The 22349-nt window shown below is 42.8% G+C and overlaps 1 long non-coding RNA gene and 2 pseudogenes across 1 annotated transcript; 1 reads left to right on the forward strand and 2 right to left on the reverse strand.

Annotated features, from left to right (window-relative positions):
* Positions 1 to 7990: 7990 nt before the first annotated feature.
* LINC00668 (long intergenic non-protein coding RNA 668) lies at positions 7991 to 12386 on the reverse strand. Its single transcript, NR_034100.1, has 7 exons — positions 12300 to 12386; positions 11368 to 11485; positions 10637 to 10736; positions 9174 to 10101; positions 8957 to 9075; positions 8589 to 8742; positions 7991 to 8235 (listed from the first exon to the last, which is right to left on the reverse strand). It is a non-coding gene; the product is annotated as a long intergenic non-protein coding RNA 668 (long non-coding RNA).
* SCML2P1 (SCML2 pseudogene 1) lies at positions 9491 to 10732 on the forward strand (annotated as a pseudogene).
* RNU6-916P (RNA, U6 small nuclear 916, pseudogene) lies at positions 19429 to 19537 on the reverse strand (annotated as a pseudogene).

Genomic DNA, 22349 nt, shown 5'->3' on the forward strand with positions numbered 1-22349 from the left:
TCTGTGACTTGCACCACAAGACTCCCGAGGGGCTCTCAGACTTTAGGTCTCAGACTTGGGGCTGCTTCCAGAATGAGCCGAGCTATGGGTTTCTCTGGTCTTCAGCTTGCAGATTCCCCTATGGTGGGAATTTTCCACCTCTCGTTGATTTTGGGAGCCAATTCCCCTGAATAAATCCCTTCCCATATATATGATTGGTTCTCTCTGGAGTACTCTGACTAATACACCGGGACATCCCTTTGGGAAAAAAAAAAACCATGATGAACCTGGACTTCTATTTCACAAAAGTACAATATATGCAAGTTAGATCACAGGCTTTAATGTGAAAGCTAAAAGTATAGTCTTCCAGAAGAAGACTGGGGAGGTTATCTTTATGACTTTGAAGTAAGTAATATTCCTCAGACAACGTTGCAAGACATCTTCTCAATTCCAAAGTTCTCTTCAAAATATTATTTCTTTGACAACAACACATGCAAACAGATGGAAGAGAATCAGGAGTTGGGGCAACGCAGGGCCCTTGGATATGTCATTTATCTCTGCCACCATAAATCATACTTTCTCTCAATACCTACAGACGGGGGTAAGCAGTGAGGAGAATTGGTAGGGGTATGATTTTGAAAGATTTTACCGTATGTGTACTCTTACAATGTGTTTATGAACTTGTACCTAATGATAATTCATTCTGAGCTTTGCTCTTCCATCTCGTAACATTTTTATCACTGTGCAGGTGCAAGCCTGTGCTACAGTGTAGACTCCACCACCCCAGGGCACCAATCCAATCACATAACAATCTGCATGTATAAGTACCAAAATCGGTACTACCATACCCATCAGTAATAGTCCGCCAATTCTCCAATCTAAAAATCTATTGCCTAACAGGGTTGTGGAAGCTATTTTCTGCTTCCATAAATCTTTCAATGCTGCAACTTTTTGTTTTCGAACAGTAACAGTTCGGTTTCAACAACAGCTATTTTGCAAATGGTTACCAACATGATCCAGTTCTAACAAGTAATCCACAGTTATTCTGTTGTCAATTACATGATCAGTTACAGTATTTCTAACCCTACAACTCTTGACTCAGTAATGAAATCATTCATGAAGTATGATTTAGTGATGCAGATGATAAGCACAAAATATGCTGCGCATAAACAGTTAGCATCCCTCTACATTAATTTGACAAGTTAACGTCACCCCACGCCATTTTGCCAACGGTTGTAAGCAAAAGGATTCATAAATGATAAAGAATCCCGGGATGCTATTCTTAGCCACCTCTATTTGAAGAAGAATATGAATTTACAAGTCTGGAGAGTTTCCTTGGTCACAACACCAAATAGCAGTCACTTGTTCATCTTTTGAACACGCTGTGATGTCATGCAGAGATTTCAAAGTGCACTTCCGGGAGTAAGGCAGGGCCAAGCACAGTTGTTGTCCTCAGCAGTTTACAGAGGGATGAGTCTGGGGAGTTAATCTCGGTGGTCTTTCTGTGCCTACCGGAGCTAGAACCAGAACTCTATGTCAATACATTGCGCTACCCAACCAGTTGAGGAGAAGTCTTTTCTGTTTCAGGACAGAAAGGTTACAAAGACCATAGTTTGAAAAGATACATCCTAAGATCGGCCATTCTTTTCCTAAAAGCAATGCTCTCAAGCAAACATTTCATGTCACCAGGTTCCCAGGGGAAAGGAGGTAGACAGCCTGCAGTTAGATTTTCACAGAGATAGAGAAAAGATTATGTTAACCTTTTATGCAGTCCTTCCACCATGTGATGTAGGTTCAATCCACTTAACATACAAATATGCAAAGTGATATATATATGAGAACCAGCATTTGACTTTTTCTATGGGACAGTAATCTCCCTTTCACCTCTTGACCAATCCAATTACTTAATGTCCAAGTAATCTTAATACGACTCCAATATTTTTATCCTGGGAATTATGGGCGTAGTTACATCAAATAACAGCATGACAATGTTTAACATATCAAATTATAGTACAGCTAATTTTTTTGGTTTTCAAGCCATGTTTCATTTTTATTTTAAAAAATAAATCTGGTGGTGTATATTTAAGGTGTTCAACACGATATTATGTATCTAGTGAAATGGTTACTAGAGTACAACAGATTAATATATCCATCATCTCACATAGTTACCCGTTTTTCCATTTTTCCGTTTTTCCGCCTTGTGGCAAGAGCAGCTATGATCTACTGATTTTGCAAAAATCCTTAACACAACACACTATAGAAACGACAGTCCCGATGTTGTTCATTAGATCTTTTGATTTGTTCCTCCTACATACTTGCTACTCTGTATCCTTTGACCTAAAAGGGGACGCGTGCTAACCTGGAGACAGCATAATTATTGCTCAGTTTAGCAAGTATTCCCTTTTAAACATTCCAATTTAGCACGTTTCAAACTGGATTTTTAAATCTTTATGCCCAAATCCGTTCCACCCACATTAAAAAAAAAAAAAATCTCAGTTAACAGTGGCTTTTTCAGTTTCTCAAGTCAGAAATCTTGGAGTCCCCTTGACGACTTTCTTCTTGTCACATCCCACACCAGCCCCTTAGCAAGTGCGGGGTGACCCAGTTCAAGGCACTGTCATGAACACAGGATGACCAGGTTCTTCTGGCTTGCACTTGCAAACCTTTAGACGATCACTTTTTGCCTCTTAAACAGCTTTCTTACTATATATTCTGCTTTCCCGGTATTCGTCGCTAGACGGCAGCAGAGGATTTTGATTGGATTCCAAACTGGTTGGTTAAAGCAGCCTGAGCAGCTCAGAGGGAGGTTGTGGTTGTGTGTTGTGGTGCTGGTGTGTGGTTGTGGTTGTGGTGTTGTGTGGTTGTGGTTATGTGTGGTTGTGTGTGGTTCTGGTGTGTGGTGGTGGTGTGTGGTTGTGTGTGGTTGTGGCAGTGTGGGGTTGGTGGTGTGTGGTTGTGGAGGTGTGTGGTGTGGTTGTGGTAGTGTGTGGTGGTGGTGGCGTGTGGTTGTGGCGGTGTGTGGTTGTGTCGTCCTTGCTGTTGCCTTACTTGTCTTGGAACTCTTCAGCAGGCAGAGGAGAGAGAGGTTCTTCAGACCGTCCTCATACCTGGGGACTAGTGGGTGGCTGTGCGGCCGGAGGCTTTAAAGCTTTGTCTTGCATCCGCGGGCCACGCTGGAGGTCGGGCGCCCGCAACCCTGCGCCAGGCCGTCCTGGGCTTGCCGACGCTCGGCCCCTGCAGCTCCATCCGCCCGCGGGCTGCCTTTGCTTTGCCTCCCTGTGTGGCTGGGAACCAGCGGGGCGGGTGCCATCGTCCGGCCTCACCCCCTACCCTGGGTCCTGCACGTGGGCACTGCGGGCTTCTGGGCCACCTCCGCCCTTGCAGCGCAGAGGGCCCCGTGGTCTTCGTCAGCGCTCAGTCAAGGTGAGTAGGGCAGGCAGTCTTTTCTTGAGTCTCTTCGTTTCTGACACCTGTAAACAAAGGTGAACCCTAAAGAGCCACTCCTTCAAGAGGCACCCAGATGGCCAGCTGGGCCTACATTTTGAATAGAGCCACGCAGCCATCTGCAGTTGACTAGAGGTCACCCTGAGTCCCCAGACCACCCGCACTTCTGCTGTACTTTGCCACACGCTGCGCTCACCTGAACCAGCCAAGGAGATCTCAGCTGTATCAACCAATCAACCAGAGCTCAGCTGTATTGACCAATCACAACTAGGCAAGTTTGAATCTTTTATTTGCATAAATGAACATGATTGGGCACCTGGGCAGGCACTGTCACTATAAAACCAGAGCCCTCCCTTTGTACTTTGGAATGTACCTTCCTTTAAGGCTGTATCTCCCAGGTTTGCAAACTGTTCACTGGAATAAGCCTCTTTCCTCCAAATTCCTTTTCAAACGACTTTTGTTCACAAACCCCGCACAAACAGCTTCATCCCATAGGGTTAATTTACTTCCCTGGATATAGCTCCTGACTTTGGCACAGAATGGCCCTGAATGATAACTAAGCCCATGCACCCCATGCACTATCTCTATCCTTTCTCTTTCTTGGCGGATCCAAATGCTAGGTTTGGAAGAGTAATGGCAATTGTCATCCTATGGTAATATTTCCTGCCCTGTTACTGGTATTTTTTCTGTTCCATAGCTAAGAAAGCTGTCATTCCTAGTTAATTGATGGCTTCAAGGGCATATTTAGGAGGTTATCTATTCCTACCTTCTTGACTAGGAAATGCCTGCTGTCCCCTTCTGGCCATCCTGGAAGGTTCTGGCCCTGAGCTGGGTTGCAATCTCTTCCACTAGATCAACTTGGAACCCTGCTGGCATTATCTCAGTTCCAAAGACATCTACAAAATGTTGTTTGACAGCAAAGCACACAGCAGATGGAAAAGAATCAGGAGCTCCAGGGAAGCTGGAGGCTCTATTAGACACATTTCTCTCTTCTTCCCAGCAGTAAATTACACCTTCTCTGACCAGAAAGAAGTTGGAAAGGGATACATGGGAGGGGACACCTTTGAAAAATTTATCTGAATTTTGCCAACTAACAATCACTTGCATAGTCTTCCAGGCAATGACATCTTATTTATGACCTTTTATGTTATATAACACATACAGCTCATTTTCGGTAGTTGCTCTGCATTTGCATAACATTTCTATCACTGCATAGCAGTGAGCTTTGCTATAGTCCTGAGCTCCATTTCCTTAGACATTGGAAACAGGCTTCTCTACCACACAGTTCTGTGTCACTACAATAGGACCACAAAAACCTTAGCCATAGAAGGAAATCATTGATAAATTGGATCCATACAATTTAATATTTTTGCTCAGTCAATAAACTGTTAAAGGAAAGCTATAGATTAGGTGAAGAATGTGTGTGTTTGTGTGTGTGTGTGTGTATAATTCACAGAATATGTAAAGAACTCTAACAAATCACTGATTTTAAAAAGATAATTTTTTAATGGACAAAAGACTTGAACACTTCACAAAAGTATAGAAATAGACAACATGCATAAAAAGATACTCAACATCATCAGTCATCAGAGAAATGCAAATTAAACCACCAGGTGATAGCACTATGCAACCACAAGAATACTCAACATTGGCTGGGCACGGTGGCTCATGCCTGTAATCCCAGCACTTTGGGAGGCTGAGGCAGGTGCATCACAAGGTCAGGAGATCAAGACCATCTTGGCTAACATGGTGAAACCTCGTCTCTACTAAAAACACAAAAAATTAGCTGGGCGTGGTGGTGGGTGCCTGTAGTCCCAGCTACTTGGGAGGCCGAGGCAGGAGAATCACTTCAATCCGGGAGGCAGAGGTTGCAGTGAGCCGAGATTGCACCACTGCACTCCAGCCTGGGTGACAGAGCGAGACTCGGTCTCCAGAAAAAAAAAAAAAAAAAAAAAAACCATGCTCAACATTAAAAAGAGACATAATACCAAGTGTTGGCAAGGAATACAACAACTGGCGTTCTCATACATTGCTGTTGGGAGTATAAAGTAGCAGAACTACTTTGGAAAACTGGCAATATAGTATAAACATAACCATGTACCTACCCTATAACCTAGAAATCAACTCCTAAGATATTACCCAAGAGAAATTAAAACACATCCACACAAATACTTGTGCAAGAATGTCCACTGAAGTTTTATTCATAACACACAAAACTTGGAAAAGGGTTAAATACACTTGGTTAATTCATATAACGGAGTACTACTCAACAATAAAATAAAATGAATTTAGAGCACATGCAACAATATGAATTTCAAAAACATGTTGCATGCAAAAAGTCAAACATGAGTCCATACTGACAAAGGTTTTCTTTGACCTAACTCCAGTGAGGCCCTCTAAGCCCTCAAAGCTTAAACTTTAGACTGTCCTTGGTTCATTTAGGTGAGTTACAATCTTGTTGGGTCAGTTTATCGAAAATCCCCCACCATTGTTATCTGATCAAATTCCACACCCCCCACTCTTCATATCTTCCCATACTGGCCTGCCTTGAGCAAAGATCCTGTTGAGCTCCTCTAACAAAAACCTCCCTAGCTTTGATGTTTCCTCTTAGTAACTTTCCATCCACTGAGCCCCACCCTGCTCCTTGGCTAGAAACCCCCAGTTGTCCTTGTTGTGTTCAGAGTGGAGCCAAACCTTTCTTCCCTACTGCAAAACCCCATTATGGAGGTCCCCCATGTTAAAATCTGCCTTATCATCTTTAATGAGTGTCATGAATAATTTTTCTTTAACAATGCATGATTCCACTTACATGAAATTCAACAGCAGGAAAAACTAATCTATGGAGATATACATTAGAAAAGTGGGTCGCTTGGAGCAGGGGCCGACTGGAAATGGGCATGGGGTAATTCCCCTGGGCTCTCCATGATCAGGCCCAACCTACTTTGTCCTTTTTCCTCTCCCATTGCTGCACAGCAGGGTCCCTCTGCTTCAGTCAAGAGGTTAGATCTGCCATGCCTTCACCACCCACCCATCCCCACAGTCTCATCCCCACAGTGACAGCACTTTGTGAACTGGGCTGCTCTACCACAAAGGCTGCCAGCACACATTCTGCAGAGCCTGGTTACAGATGGCATCTTAACAGATGCCCATATCATTCACTCCATCCCACTGTACAAGTTAGCCCTTCATTTTGTAGTGTTTTAAGGTTAAAAACACATATGCCTCTTGATCCTTGCAATTTTAATAAAGCACTCTCTCCATTTTCACCTCAACATCCAGTCCAGGTGAAAGGTAACAATTGATAAATATCTGTTGATGAATGTTCAACATTTAATCATGTATCACTCCTAAATAGCATGAATCATGTTAAGACAGCTGCATGGACAGACCAAATGGGAAAGGAATGCCTTATTGTAGAAGGCCTATTTGTTGGACCCTATTCTCCAGGTCCAAGAAGTCTTTGTCTTTGACACAAAATGAAGTTACTCCTGGCCCACTTGTGGTACTTCTATGGACTTATTCAAGGGGTTGACAAACTTTAGAAAGGCCTAAAGAAATTGTAATTGAATACAACTTCCTTCTTTCATTGTTCTGCTCCTTCTGAAATGTAGGGGACTGCCACTCACTAGCATCCTTTGTCCGGAACACATTCCCACTCCGGGAACTTAAGAGGAAACAGCCGGCCTGCATGCAATGTCAGGGTAAATTGAGAACATCACTGTCTTAGTCCATATGTGTTGCTCTAAAGGAATACCTGAGGCTGGGTAATTTATAAAAATAGGTTTATTTGACTCGTGGTTCTGCTGGCAACAGCATCTACTTCTGGTGAGGGCTTCCAGGAGTTTCCACTCATGGCAGAAGGGGAGCCAGTGTGTGCAGACATTACATGATGAGACAGGAAGCAAGAGAGACAGAGGGGAGATGCCAGGCTCTCTTTAATAACCAGCTCTGGAGGGAACTGATTATGTGAGAACTCACTCATTGCCATGAGAACAGCACCAAGCCGTTCATGAGTGATCCACCCCCATGACCCAAACACCTTCCACCAGGCCCCACCTCCAACACTGGGGACTAAATTTCAACATGAGGTTTGGAGGGTCAAATATTCAAACTATAGCATCAGCCAAAATTATAGCTGCAGGGAAATTAGAAGAAAAACTGGCAAGATGAAGAAAGATTTAGTGGAATATAACACATTAGAGAATAAAAAGGGGAGTCTATAGGGTGCAATTATAGTTGATTGTATGTTTTTGCATAATTGGTTTGTTCAATTAACTGTTATGGGAATTTTACTGAGGATTTTAACATCTGAATACAATAGTTGAAAGTGTTCTCTAAGTGTCTAACAATTTCCTTACCTTGTTTGGGAGTCAGGATTATAACAGCCTTGATAAATGTGTAGGGAAGCTTTCTTCTTGCCTTTCGGGAAAAAGCGCATTAAGTATTTGAGGGGTTGAAGGGAGGGGCTCCAAAGGGCATGGGGAAATTTTCAGGGGTAATGGGTATATTCCTTATCTTCAGTGTGCTGATGGTTGCAGGGGTATATACAAATGCCCAAACGCATAAATTGTACACTTTAAATATTCAAGTTTATTGTATGTCAATTATACTTCAATAAAGCTTTTTTTTTTTTTAAACCCTCACAATTTAGTTCTGGGCTCTGTGCTTGGGCTCTTGAAATTCGGTGGCAGTGGCCTGAATCCCCATGCCCACTGTGACAGAGCAGGAGCACCATCCTCTCGGACAAACACCGCCACTTTAAGTGCCAGCTCCCTTTCCAGCCTCATGCATTTCAAGAAAATCACTTCTCTTCTAACAACAAGCAGACAGAAAGAGCAGACAGTAAAACATAGATGAGACAGCTCAGGCACAGAGGGAGGTGGGGGGAAAGTCTCTTGGGTAATTGCCAAACTTCACCCTCATACATTGGGCCCCAGTATAACAGTGGGCCTTAATAAGCACATTCTTTCCCTTCAGGTGCACTAAGATAGGGAAGCTAAAAGCAGACCTGGGGGTATGCCTGCAGCTGCAGGAAGATGTATGGAAACAGACACACAACTCCCTCCCAGATAAGCACACCTAAAGAGACACAGAAGCAGTCCAAGCCTCTGATAAACTCTCCCACCCTGAATCCTTAAAAACTCTTAGTCTGTAAGAGAGCATGCCTCTGATCTAACTCAGCCAGAAGCCACTCTTGGGTTTGTTTTCTTTAAAATAAACCTGTCCTCGACCATCAAGCCATTGTGTTTCTTTCCTCTTTCTTTAATTCTTACACACTGGAGCCTAGGGAAAGGATCATTCTCTGCCCACTTCCATTACCTGAGAAAAGAACGCCAGAAAAAGAAGCCATGGGGAAAACATTAAGATTTGTAGCCAGGCATGGCAGCTGATGCCTGTAATGCCAGCACTTAGGGGGGTTGAGGTAGAGGATTGTTTGAGGCCAGGAGTTTGAGACCAGCCTGGGCAACATAGTGAGACCCTGTCTCTACAAAAAAAGTTTTTAAATAAATTATCTGGGCCTGGGGGCAAGTACCTGTAGTCCCAGCTGCTTAGGAGGCGGAGACGGGAAGATCCCTCGAGCTCAGTACAGCTCAGGCTGTAGTGAGCTATGATGGCACCACTGCATTCCAGACTGGGTGACAGAGCAAGACCCTGTCTCAAAAAAAAAAAAAAAAAGATTTGTAGACTTTTGTAGACTGTCAAGAGGGACATCAAAAATGTCTCCTGTGAGGCCGGGCATGGTAGCTTACATCTGTAATCCCAAGCACTTTGAGAAGCCACCGCGGGAGGATTACTTGAGCCCAGGAGTTCGAGATCAGCCTAGGCAAGATAGACTTTGTCTCTACAAATAAAAATAATTAGCCAGGCATGGTGGTGCAGGCCTGTGGCCCCAGCTCCTCAGGGGACTGAGGCAGGAGGATTGCTTGAGCAGTCCTCAGGCAGTGGAGGCACCAGTGACCTGTGGTAACAACACTGCACTCCAGCCTGGGCGACAGAGTGAGACCCTGTCTCAAAAGAAAATAAATAAAACAGAATGTCTCCTGTGTAAAATGACAACTTCCAGTAGAACAATTATAGGAAAGATACAGGATCTTTCTGTTCTTTCCACAGTATCTCAGATTTCAGACCGCCCAAGATTCCTCTAGCTAATGACTTCACAGTTGGTAACAGCGAGTTAACTTCACAATGTTTCTTCAGCATCTATTATGACAGTTCTTGGAACTATACGTGCCAGATTACAGTTCACACCTGGTGGTAGTGACAATGGAAATGCCTTTAGGAGGCTTGCAGATCCCTTGGACCCAGAAAATACAACTTTTTGAGACATATGGGAGAAAAAAGAGGTTTTTACATCAGCTTTCCCTGGGGTTCCACGAACACTAAATGAATCTGAAGACACACCTTCAACATTCTTTAAGAAGGAACCATGGAAGCCAACCTTGTATTGTTTAAAGAGAGAATGAAACTTGAAGCAACAGACAGGAAGAACCCTTATCTGATCTGCTCCGCAACTATTGGAAACATTGAAGGAGACAGTTTACACTACAGTGGATGGGAGTGGTGGCTTAGGCCTATAATGCTAGTGCTTTGGAAGGCAGAGTGGGGAGAATTGCTTGAGGGAGAGTTCAAGGTTGCAGGGAGCTGTGATCCAGCCTCAGCAACAGAGTGAGATCCTGTCTGTAAAAAAAGAAAAGAAAAAAAAGTTTACATTACATTTGGAGACTAGAGAGGAGCTTTTGAATATTGCTATGATTCTTCAGATAGTCTCCTAATTGGGTAGGTTGTATCGCTTGACAAATGTCTTACAACCATCAGAAAATAATGCTCCCATTACAATAAGTAGAGCGAAAGCACAATCTTCTCCTTCCCGTGTGGCTCAGCATTCAATGCAGGCGAGAAAACTCGCCCAGTAACTTGGGTCAAGAAATCAGGTTGGGATAAACCACCTGCATAACTTTCCTCCCCACGAAGGAAAGGTTTCTTAAAAATGATTCCCTGACAAAGGTCAGCATTCGTAATTAAAAGAGGCCCAAAATGAGAGAAAAAGGAAAAATTGTCTTCCTGTTTTGTGTTCTCCTCCATCTCTACTTATGTAGTTGCTAGAAAGAGACCTTGGCCTTCCACTAGATCAGGGATGACGTTGCCGAGACCATGACTGCAGCAATGTCTGCAGTCTGTTTCTTTGCAGACAAACAGGGGACTCCATACTCACCTGCTTCAGAAGAGAGCCCAGCAGCTGCCCACCTCCCGCTGGCCCCGTGGGTATGCAGCTCGGTGGACCATGCAGACCTATGTGGATTGTGCCTTCCGAGCTGTGATAGAAGAGTTAAAAATAAATTATTTAGGCAGACAGAATAAGGAAGTCCTTGGTAAGGTTTTCCTTTTAATGAAAAGCATTAAAAGGAATGCCCCAAATCATTTTCTTTTCTAACAAAGAACAACCTGTAAAATCAAGCTGCAGGCACAGACAAGCAAGCTGGAAGCTTGCATAGGCTAATACTGGTGGTTGTGCCAACAGAGAAAGGTTACCTGGGAATAGACACGTTCAAAACGGTGGCTCCATCTTCTCCTGTCTTTGCCACCCGCGTGTATAGTAAGGAGCAGACAAGATGGTACTGGCCAAGTAGAAAGCCCATTTGTTTAATAAGATTAGGGTGGGACGACCAGCCTTCCCCGAGCGCTATGTAAACGTCACACCTGATCAGACCAATCTGTGGGCCCTGTGTAAATCAGACGCCGCCTCCTCAAGCCTGCCTATCAAGTCTGCTGTGGTCCACCTCAGGCCGGCTTTTTCCCTTTTGGATGCCTCTCTCTAGAAAGAGAGAGAAAGCTGCTCTCCTCTCTCCTTTCTTCAGCCTATTAAAATTTCCGCTCCTCAACCCACTCACATGTGTCCATGTCTTTAATCTTCTTGGTGCAAGATGGTGAACCCCAGGTATTTACCTCAGACAGTGATGCTGCTTCAGCTGGACGGCTCTTGAATGCCTCCATAGAGGAGACGTGGTCGCTGCCTCCTCTGGTGGGGAAAAACATTCTACCTCCCTTCGGTGGTTAACACCTCCTCAAAATAAAAATGGTAAAAGCCAATCAGCAGAGGCAGACATACTGATGCTCTCAGAACCCTCCATCATATGCCACTCCTCTCTCACCTAAGGATCCCACAGAGGTATATGTACCACAGGCAGAAATATTGTCTTATGACGACAGACATGCCAGAAGAGCAGAGGCTTTCAGAAAGCCACCAATTCAGCAAACTAACTCTCCGAGCATGGACTGGGGAAATTCCTCAGCTCTCTTAACTATAGGAATTATTTTCAGCCTGTGTCAGCTATGCTGAGCTCATCCCCAGTTCTGAATAAACTATCACTGATTTCTACCAAGGACAATTATAAGAAGTCAGTAAAATCCACATGCAGAGGAGATGGACACCCAACTCAACAAGTGAATGTGACTACCCAGAGGGAGAGCCCTGTAGAGTCCCCGCCCAGCGTGCCCACCCAGGGTTTCCACCCAGTGTCCCCGCCCAGGTCCTCAACCAGGTCCCCGCCCAGCGTCCCCGCCCAGCCTCCCGGGGTCTACACCAGGCCACCTGCGCTCGCTGGTTGACAGCACAGCCCCTTCCGGCTAGCTTGACGGCCTCCGCCCGATCCACCCTGCGTGAATACAATTATTTCCCTCTGCCTTCCACTCGGAGAGAGCGGCCAGGATGCCAACTGGCTTCACTGGAAACACCCCGGCCCCCCAGCCCTCCTGGGGCATCTCTAGGTGACACCCCACAAGGCCTGAGGCCTCTACGCCTTCTCTCCCATCCGCAGTGACCCTGCCTCGCACCTGCCACGTGGGTCCAGCCACACTGTCCCGGCAGACGCTCTCACCTTAGCCTCGGGCTGGACTTACTGCTTCCAAAAGCGCTGGGCACAGCCTTATATGACTGACCCCGCCCCCGAGTCCCAGGCCGCCCCATGCAACCGCCCAACCGCCCAACCGCCACTCCAAAGGTCACCAACCACTGCTCCAGGCCACGGGCTGCCTCTCCCCACGGCTCTAGGGCCCTTCCCCTCCACCGCAGGCTGACCCCGCCCACCTCACCAACAGACACGCCAACTGCGTCTGGCCCCGCCCCCGCCGTTCTCTCTTCCGGCTCCACGGCCCCACCCCTTCGCAGCGGGTCTACTCTGCCCGCCCCAAGAACCACCACTTCCACAGCCAGGCACCCCAGCTCGGGCTGAGGTCTTCTTTGGCTCCTGGCAGCTGTTACCCCTGCAGCCATGTGTACCAGATGTCTGCTGTGTTTTGTCCCCCACATATAGTTTTGATACATTTTTAAAACTTAATCTATATCTCACTTACTCCACTCCCTGTGAGGGTGGGCAAATGCCTGTTCAGCTTAGGATCGGATCCTTAGCACCTGATACAGGGGCTGGTGCTCTATACCCACACCTGCTCTGCCGGCTGCACAGGATCATCATGGCAAAATGAGATGGTCTATGTAAGAGCACTTGTGAAAATTCTAGAACTCTTTCTATACCCCTGAAACTCCAGAAACGTAAAGAATTATTTTCATTATTATTGCTTTTCAGTACATTGATCTGGGCCCCACATTTCCAGCTTATGGTTTGGTTACAGCTCTGCATGACCCAAATGGAAAGATAAAAATGCTCTCCTTTGCTCATCTCCGTTTTAAACATGATTTCTTCTTAAAGGTGCTTAAAGGAATTTCATATGCAGTCAGTCCTTTTATCATCTATCTCTAATGTTTTACCTGGATTTTTTATTGGCTGTCATACAGTAATGACAAGAAAATCCATTTGTGGATTGGAATCTTTAGGTATGAAATGTGCCATGCTTGCCTGGTTGAAACAATGTAGGACCGTCAAGCGAGGGCTGGAGGTTTGTTTGCACTGGTGTGGAAGAGGAAGAGGAGAAAGAAAAAAGGAAAACATAGGGTCACTTTAGGCCAACTGCTCAGAAGATGAGAGAAACTGGACCCAGTGGCACTTAGGCTGAGACCTGGCTGGGTAAAAACAGGTGGCAATGTTTTTCTAACAAAAACATCAGGACTCGTAAATAAGTACAAAGAAACTTTTGTGGGTAGTGGTACTAAATATTTCCAATTGGAATTGCTGAATAAGATGCAATATTTATGGTTGCTATAGTATAGGAATGATGACTGATTATGTGTTTTGGATGTTTGTCCTTTCCAAATCTCAAGCTGAAATGCGATTCCCAGTGTTGGAGGTGGGGCCTGGTGGGAGGTGATGGGATCATGGGGGTGGATCCCTCATGAATGGTTTCTCACCCCCCCCTTGGTGATGAGTTCTCGCTCAGTTCATTCTTGGTTGAGATCTGGTTGTTTGAAAGAGTTGGACATCCGCCTTCTCTATCTCTCTTTCTCCCATTCTCTCCACGTGATGTGCCTGCCCCCCGCACCGCCACAACTTCACCTTCCACCACCATTGTAAGCTTCTTGAGGCCCTCACCAGAAGCCAAGCAGTTGTTGGTGCCATGCTTGTACAACTTGCAGAACCGTGTGCCAATTCAACTTTTTTTCTTTATAAATTACCCAGGCTCAAGTATTCCTTTATAGCAATGCAAGAACAGCCTAATAAAAGTAGAGTCAGCCTGAAGAGATAGTGTTTCACATCCCTCGATGTCTGTCATCTCTTCATCTCTGGAAATCTACAAATCTCACCCTCCTCTTCTCTCTTTCCATCTCTTCTCTCTTTCTGAATAGCTTCAATAAGGCCCTAAAGAAGTGGGGAAGTTGAACATTTTACATTTCTCTTAAAGTGTCAGTGGCTGTGCACCACAGAGTATTTTCCCCTTTGATTGTAATCTACCACCCTGCATTTTTTCTAACAAATGTCAACACCTGGGGCTGTTTCCTAAGACCAAAGCATGGGTATCCTCTGTGTCTAACTTAGTGGCTCACGGAATTTGTCTCATCTTTTCCTTAAATCTTACAATGATTAATGAAGTAGGACTTGGTATAACATTGTATTAGCAGCCAAAAAGCACACTAGCTCCAAAATACCCAAGTTAGAATAATTTTCATGAATGAATAAATTTTCATTCTCAGGCCCAGAGCAGTTGATAGGAATTGCAATGACAGGTGCTGCGAGGGCGAAGTTTGAGAGCAAACTCACCTACAAAGAAATACAAGACACTATCTTGGGAGCGATCACAAACAGGACTTTGTTTTAAGATAATCTGTCCTCGAATTTGTAGGATAGGGCATGTTAAATGTCACAGAGTTTCTGCTATGTTACAAAAACTCACTTTAACATTTCTCCTATGAGTACATGTTGGCAATATGGCTTTGTATGTCTACCTACATGTTTCTAAAATTCCACTTCTGAACACAGATCTTTTTTTTTTTTTTTTTAGATGGAGTCTCGCTCTGCTGCCCAGGCTGGAGTGTGGTGGCGCGATCTCAGCTCACCGCAACCTCTGTCTCCTGGGCTCAAGCAATTCTCCTAACTCAGCCTCCCGAGTAGCTGGGATTACTGGTGCCCGCCACCATGCCCAACTAATTTTTGCATTTTCAGTAGAGATGGGGTTTTACCACGTTGGCCAGGGTGGTCTTGAACTCCTGACCTCAGGTGATCCGCCTGCCTCGGCCTCCCAAAGTGATTACAGGTGTGAGCCACCGCGCCCAGCCTGAACACAGATCTTTCAAACATCAGCCTGTTTGGGGGATTTATTCAGTGTGGGTGAGCTTTGCCAAGAAAAATCATGTTGCTGTCATCTATTTATTTTTTCATAATTATGGTGATTAAACATATGTAACGAAATTCACTATTTTAACCACGCTTAAGTGTGGTTCTGTAGCATTAAGTACATTCACATTGTTGGGCAACCATCACCGGAACTTTCCACCTTCCCCATTCTCCCCAGTCCCCCGACCCTGGCAGCCACTATTCTACTTTCTATCTCTATAAACTTGAAAGTGTGTGACTTTCAGTGTTGTTCTTCATTTGCAAGATTGTTTTGGCTATTCAGGATCCTTGAGATTCGGTATGAATTTCAGAATTGTTTTCTGTTTCTGCTAAAAACATTGCTGGAATCTGTAGATTGCTTTGGGTGATATTGACATCTCAACAGTATTAAGTCTTATTTATTAACAAGGATATCTTTCCGTTTATTGCTGCCCTTAGTTTTAATTTCTCTCAGTAATGCTTCAAGGTTGTTAGTGTATAAGTCTTTCAGCTCCTTGGCTAAGTTGATTCCTAAGTATTTTATTCTTTCTAATGCTATTGTAAATGAAATTGTTTTCTCTATTTCTTTTGGGATTGTTCATTGTTCGTATGTAGAAACGCACCTGATTTTTGTGGGTTAATTTTGTATCTTCCAACTTTGCTGAAATTATTGATTAATTGTAAGAGTTTGTTTTATAGAATATTTAGAGCTTTCTAACATATACGATAATATTGTTTGCTAACAGAGAGAATTTTACTTTTTCTTTTCCAATTTGGATGCCTTTCATTTATTTATTTTCTTCCCTAAATTCTCTAGCTAGGACTTCTAAGACTATGTTAAATAGAAGTGGCAAAAGCAGCATTCTTGTCTTGCCTTTTTTTTTTTTTTTTGTCTTTTTGAGATGGAGTCTTGCCCTGTCGCCCAGGCTGCAGTGCAATGGCACAATCTTGATTCACTACAACCTTGCCTCCTGGGTTCAAGCGACTCTCCAGCCTCAACCTTCTGAGCAGCTGGGATTATAGGTGCTCATCACCACGCCCAGCTAATTTTTTTATTTTTAGTAGAGACGGGGTTTCACCATGTTGGCCAGGCTGGTCTCGAACTCTTGACCTCAGGTGACCCACCCACCTCAGCCTCCCAAAATGCTGGGATTACAGGAGTGAGCCACTGTGCCCGGCCCCCTTGTCTCGCTTCTTAGATCTTAGATCTTAGAGGAAAAGCTTTCAAACTTGCACTATTCAGCACAATGTTAGCTATTGACTAAAGAGAGAGGATTTTAGTCAATAGCTATTGAGTAAAGAGGATTTGGGGAAGCCGCATTTTTAATTGATTAGTTTTTACAACTTACTGAGGTATTATTAAGTAGTATTGAACAGCACTGTTCAAAATGATGGGTTTTGATATTTGTTTACACCCCTGAGGTCATCATAATCGAGATAGTAAACAGTTCCATTGCCCAACAAGTTTCCTCATGCAATTTTGTAACCTATTCCTCCCTCCATTTAACCCCTGGCATTTTCTAAAAATTTTATGCAAATATGATGAAGTATGTATTTTGGTGTAAGGCATTTTAAAATTCATCATATTTCTGAGATTCATTCACATTGTTGTATGTATCATGGTTTAGTCCTTCTTATTGCTACATAGTATTCCCTTGTATGCATATGCTACAGTTCATCTATTCTACTGATGGATACCTGGGATAGTTCCAGAGTTTAGCTAGTATAAATAAAGCTCTGACATTTATCCATAAATCTTTGCCAAGAATAGCTTACCTGGGACATATGGTAAGTATATTTAAGTTCTAAAGAAATTACTAAACTTTTTCCAAAGTGGTTGTAGCATTTTACATTCCCACCCCTCAACAATGTACAAGAATTCTAGTTGCTCCACATCCTTCCAACAGTTTTAGCTATCCTGGAAGGTATGTAGTTAGATCTCCCTGTGGTTTTAATTTGCATTTCCCTAAGGACTGATAGTGCTGAGCCTGTTTTCTTATGTTTGTTGGCCATTCATATTTGTAAAATATCTATTCAAATCTTTTGATCATTTATAATTGGGTTGTTCATCTCATGCTGAGTTATGAGAGTTCTTTCCATGGGCCCAAGAGTAGGACCTGGTAATGACTTCTTTTTGTTGTCTTTCTTGTGAGAATGTCTTTATTTCACCTTTATTGCTGTAAGATATTTGTAATGGATATAAAATTATAGGTTGAGAAGCTCTTTTCTTTCAGTACTTTTAAGATGTAGTCCTGCTGTCTTCTGGACTTCATGGTTTCTCGGAGAAATCATGGACATAAAGTCATGATTTCCCTCTATGTAATGTGTGCTTTTTGTTTTTTTTTCCACTATAGCTACTTTCAAGAATTTTTTAGGTATCTTGGGATTCAGAAACTTGATTCTTATGTGTTAATAGGGATTGTTTCCTTTGAGTTTGTTTTGCCCAGAGTTTGCTAAGTGTCTTGAATCTGTAAATTTATGTCTTTCACTAAATTGGGGAGTTTCTGGGCATTCTTGCTGAAATTTTTTTTCTATTTTAATCTTTTTCTCCTCTCTTTCTGAGACTCAACTTACACTATGTTAGACCTTTAGATGGTAACACACAGGTACCTGACACTCTGGGTTTGTTTTCTTTAAACCCTTTATCTCTCTTTGTAGATTGGATAATTTTCATTGTTCTACCTTCAACTTAATTTTCCTTTTATCATCTTTATTCTGCTATTGAGTCCAACCAATGATTAACTTTTGACTGCAGAGATTGTATTTTTCATTTCAATATTTTTTATTTGCTTCCTTTTTAAATTTTCCTTTTTTCTGTTGAGCACTTCTATCATATCAGTCAATCGAAGTGTGCTTTCCCTGACCTTACGAGCATAGATAAAATAGCTGCTTTAAAGTCTTTGTCTGATAATTTTCTCTTGAGGTTGGTATTTGTTTGATTGTCTTTCCACCTTAAGAATCAGTACCATTTTCCTGGTTGTTTGTATATCAAGAGATTTTGAATTGTTTCCTGGACATTGTGAATGTTGTGTATTGCAGACTCTGGATCTATTGTCGGCCTCTGGAAAATGTTGATGTCTGTTTTAGTAAAAAATTAGACTACGTTATGTTCAGACTATAAGTTATATCCCATCTTCTGTGGTTATATCAGTTTAAATACACACACACACACACACACCCCTTTCCACTTAACTTTGGGAAGTACTGTGAGAATCAGCAGTAATTCAATGATTTGCCTGGTGATTTTATCATTTTAGGATTCCTTCCCTCCAATTCACTCAATTTCAATGTAACACCTAATAAAAGAAGAGAAATGTGTTTCCTTTTAGGTTAGCTTACTAAAAAAGATTTTCTTTAGTTTGCTTCCAATGCTACCTAAATCAAAAGCTTTCCACTGAGTCTTCTTCCAAGCTTGAACATTTTTTCCTAGCAAGACTTAGTGAATGGTCTTGATCATTTCCTACTTATTCTTTTGTCATTTTTACTCACACTTCTTAAATTCCATGTTCGATTTAATCAGACCTCAAGGGTGCAGAATTACATTTAAGCCACATAGTATTAATCACACTAACTCCCTATCCATACCTACGTCCTGCCGACCTTCTAGTCTGGGTGGCAAAGCCGCACATGCATCCTCTGGTACTTGTGTGTCTATTCTTTACAACCTCCTACCTCCTCCCTTGACTGATGTTCTTCCTCTAATTGTTTTCTTCTGACCACCTTCAGGGACACAATTCAGCATTGTACCATTTTTAGCAAAGATTTTACTGGGTTTTATTCATATCAGAAAATCACATTTGCATTTCAAACACATGCTAAAAATTAAATCATGGATGAAATGCCTGATGCATAGAACGGTTCTCGTTAAAATAAACTTGTCTCTTTTATAACAATGTGAACAGAGACCACAGTTCTTTAGCATTCACACTGGAGTTCATGTTTCAATACTTTATAATTAAGCATTATGCTCAGCATATACTGTGAAAGGACAACATCATTTTAAAAATGTGTTACTCAGAGAGAAAACAGTGATTTTCATTATGTTCCCCTCCAAGCCTTTGCTTCAGACAGCTGGTATGGCTCCCATTGTCGGACACTGAAGGGGTTTGAAAGGAACATGAGCGCTGCCATTGTCACCCTGTGAAAAAAAATCCTGATAGTTTTTACATTTCAGGATATATTAAGTTGAAAACTTCACTGTATATTATGAAAACTGTTAAGCCTGTAGATCTTTTTGCGGAATATGTTGCAAAATGGCTGATTTTGTCATTTTAAAATTCTTTCTCAAATTTTCTATTAGACTTTTAAAAATATGGAATGCTTCACGAATGTGCATGTCATCCTTGCACAGGGCCCATGCTAACCTCTGGATCGCTCCACTTTTAGTATAATATATGTGCTACCGAAGAGAGCATGATTCTGTTCTGTTTAAATGCTTGTTCGATGGCTTGTTAGAAGAATCACATTTGCAAAGATCTTTTGAAATTTATGGAAAAACGACACTGCTGAAGTATGTTTAGAGAAAAATGAGAAACTAGTATTCAGTTTAATAATTATGTACTAATAACCTCTGCCATGTCCTTATTGTATTAACTATTATGTCAGGGAGAAATGCCTAAGAAATATCCAACAGAATATCGACCTTCAAGGAGCTATAAAACAACTAGAGGCTCTTTGAGGAGAACATCCAATCTGAGGGGAAAACTCAGCATTAACTTAGAGCCATTAAGAACCAGAACAGTTCCGGCCGGGTGTGGTGGTTCACACCTGTAATCCCAGCACTTTGGGAGGCCGAGGCGGGCGGATCACGAGGTCAGGAGATCGAGACTATCCTGGCTAACATGGTGAAACCCTGTCTCTACTAAAAATAAATAAATAAATAAAAAAGGCGCCTGTAGTCCCAGCTACTCCGGAGGCTGAGGCAGGAGAATGGCGTGAACCCGGGAGGCGGAGCTTGCAGTGAGCCGAGATCGCGCCACTGCACTCCAGCCTGGGTGACAGAGCGAGACTCCGTCTCAAAATAAATAAATAAATAAATAAATAAATTAATTAATTAATTAATTAATTTAAAAAAGAGAAACAGAACAGTTCCAGGGCAGTCAGCACTGCAGGGGGCTGACCAGGAAGACTTACCAAGGGCACCAGAAGGCGAAGATGTTGCCTGCACACCACTAAATACAAACGGGAGCCATGAGCACTTGGGATGTATGTGATACTTCTGAAATTTTGAAAACTATGTGAAATATGAACCTGACAGAGAAATACCTTCCATACAGTACAATTTCAAGAAGAAAAAGCAAATGGGTATCACAAAGTGATGGGAGATGTGTCCAGATCCGTTTTGCAGTCTGAGGCAGGAAATTGACCCGATGCTTCCCGTTGACTTCCTTCAGACATTCAGAAACTGTGCTAGAGACTGACTGTCCCATGAGGAACAACTAAGTAACAACATAGCTTGCAGCTGTGAAAAGGGTCCCGGGCAGGACGCAGGGCAGAACATCACGGAGGCAGGTACTGGAGAATTATCTTCAGCCACAGTTCCAAGCTAGCGGGAAAAGCAGGTAGTAGTGTGGAGAGGGAGTTTATTACGGCTGAGGGGAACACACCCAGGGCATTGTGTGACATTTAAAAATATATACTCAGCCGTTACAAAGTTTCTGCCACTGGGGAAGAAGGAAGTGCCACAGGTACCAAGTAGTATTGTTGTTATAAGAAAAATAGTGAAACTTCCTTATCTCTGAATCACTAATTTTCTGGTTTTTTTTTTTTTTTCTTTGAGACGGAGTCTCAGTGGTGTGTGCCTATAATCCCAGCTGCTCAGGAGGGTGAGGCAAAATAATCACTTGAACCTGGAGGGTGGAAGTTGCAGTGAACCGAGATCATGCCATTGCACTCCAGCCTGGGCAACAAGAGTGAAATACCATCTCAAAATAAATAAATAAAAAAATGAAGTTTCAGTTATGCAAGCTGAGTAAGCTCTAGGGATCTGCTGTCTGTACAACATGGTGCCTATAGTTAACAATAATATATTGTGCATTTAACATATGTTAAGAGGGTAGATCTTATGCCAAATGTTTGACCATAATAAAAAAATTACCACATGTGAGAATAAAAGAAGAATTTACGGGCTTGCAAATGTACTTAGTTATCATTTCCCCTAAGGACTGAATTGAATTTATTAGTATTTTATAAAAGATATTTACATCAAAGTCCGTAAGTAAAGTTGGTCTGTAATTGTTTTATACTTGTCTTGTTTCATATGAAGTTATTCCATCAGTGTTAAATGAGTTGGTCAGTTTTCTTCTCTTTTCTGATGTTTACCAATGCTTGCCTATAAATCCATCGGTTGTTGGACATTCTTGGAAGGCAGGTGTGACTGAGGATTAAATTTCACTATGGTCAATGCTGTTGGCTTATCCACGTGCTCTCTCTCTGAAAAAAATTTTAATACTATTTTCTAAATATTGTGATACCTTTTTGAGGTTGGTATCACAACCTTTTTTACAGATGAAGAAACTGAGGCTTGAGAACAGTGCTGCATGCTATGGAAAACAGTATAGTTCTTTCTCAAAAAATTACAAATAGGGGCCAGGCGCCGTGGCTCATGCCTGTAATCCCAACACTTAGTGGATCATTTGAGGTCAGGAGTTTGAGATCATCTTGGCCAACACGGTGAAACCCGTCTCTACTAAAAATACAAAAATTAGGCAGGCGTGGTGGCACCCGCCTGTAGTCCCAGCTACTCGGGAGGCTGAAGCAGGAGAATTGCTTGAGCCTGGGAGGTGGAGGTTGCCATGAGCCAAGATCACAGCACTGCACTCCAGCCTGGATGACAGAGTGAGACTCTGTCTCAAAAAAAAAAAAAAAATTACCAATAGATTTACCATATGATCCAGCAATTCCACTTCTGGATATATGCCCCAGAGAGTTGAAAGCAGGGACTCTGAACAGACATTTGTGCATCCATGTTCATTGCGGCACTATTCACAATAGCCAAAAGATGGCAGCAACCCAAGTACCCATCAAGGGATTAATGGATGAGCATAATGTCTATACATACAATGGGATGCTATTCAGAATTAAAAGGGAGGAAATTCTGACACATGCTAAATAGAGATGAACCTTGAAGCTATTATGGTAAGTCACTTATATGAAGTACCCAGAGTGGTCAAATGTGTAGAGACAGAAAGAATGGTGGTTGCCAGGAGCTGAGGGAAGGAAGGAATG

The sequence above is a fragment of the Homo sapiens genome, chromosome 18, assembly GCF_000001405.40.
Source record: "Homo sapiens chromosome 18, GRCh38.p14 Primary Assembly".
NCBI classification, from domain to species: domain Eukaryota; kingdom Metazoa; phylum Chordata; class Mammalia; order Primates; family Hominidae; genus Homo; species Homo sapiens.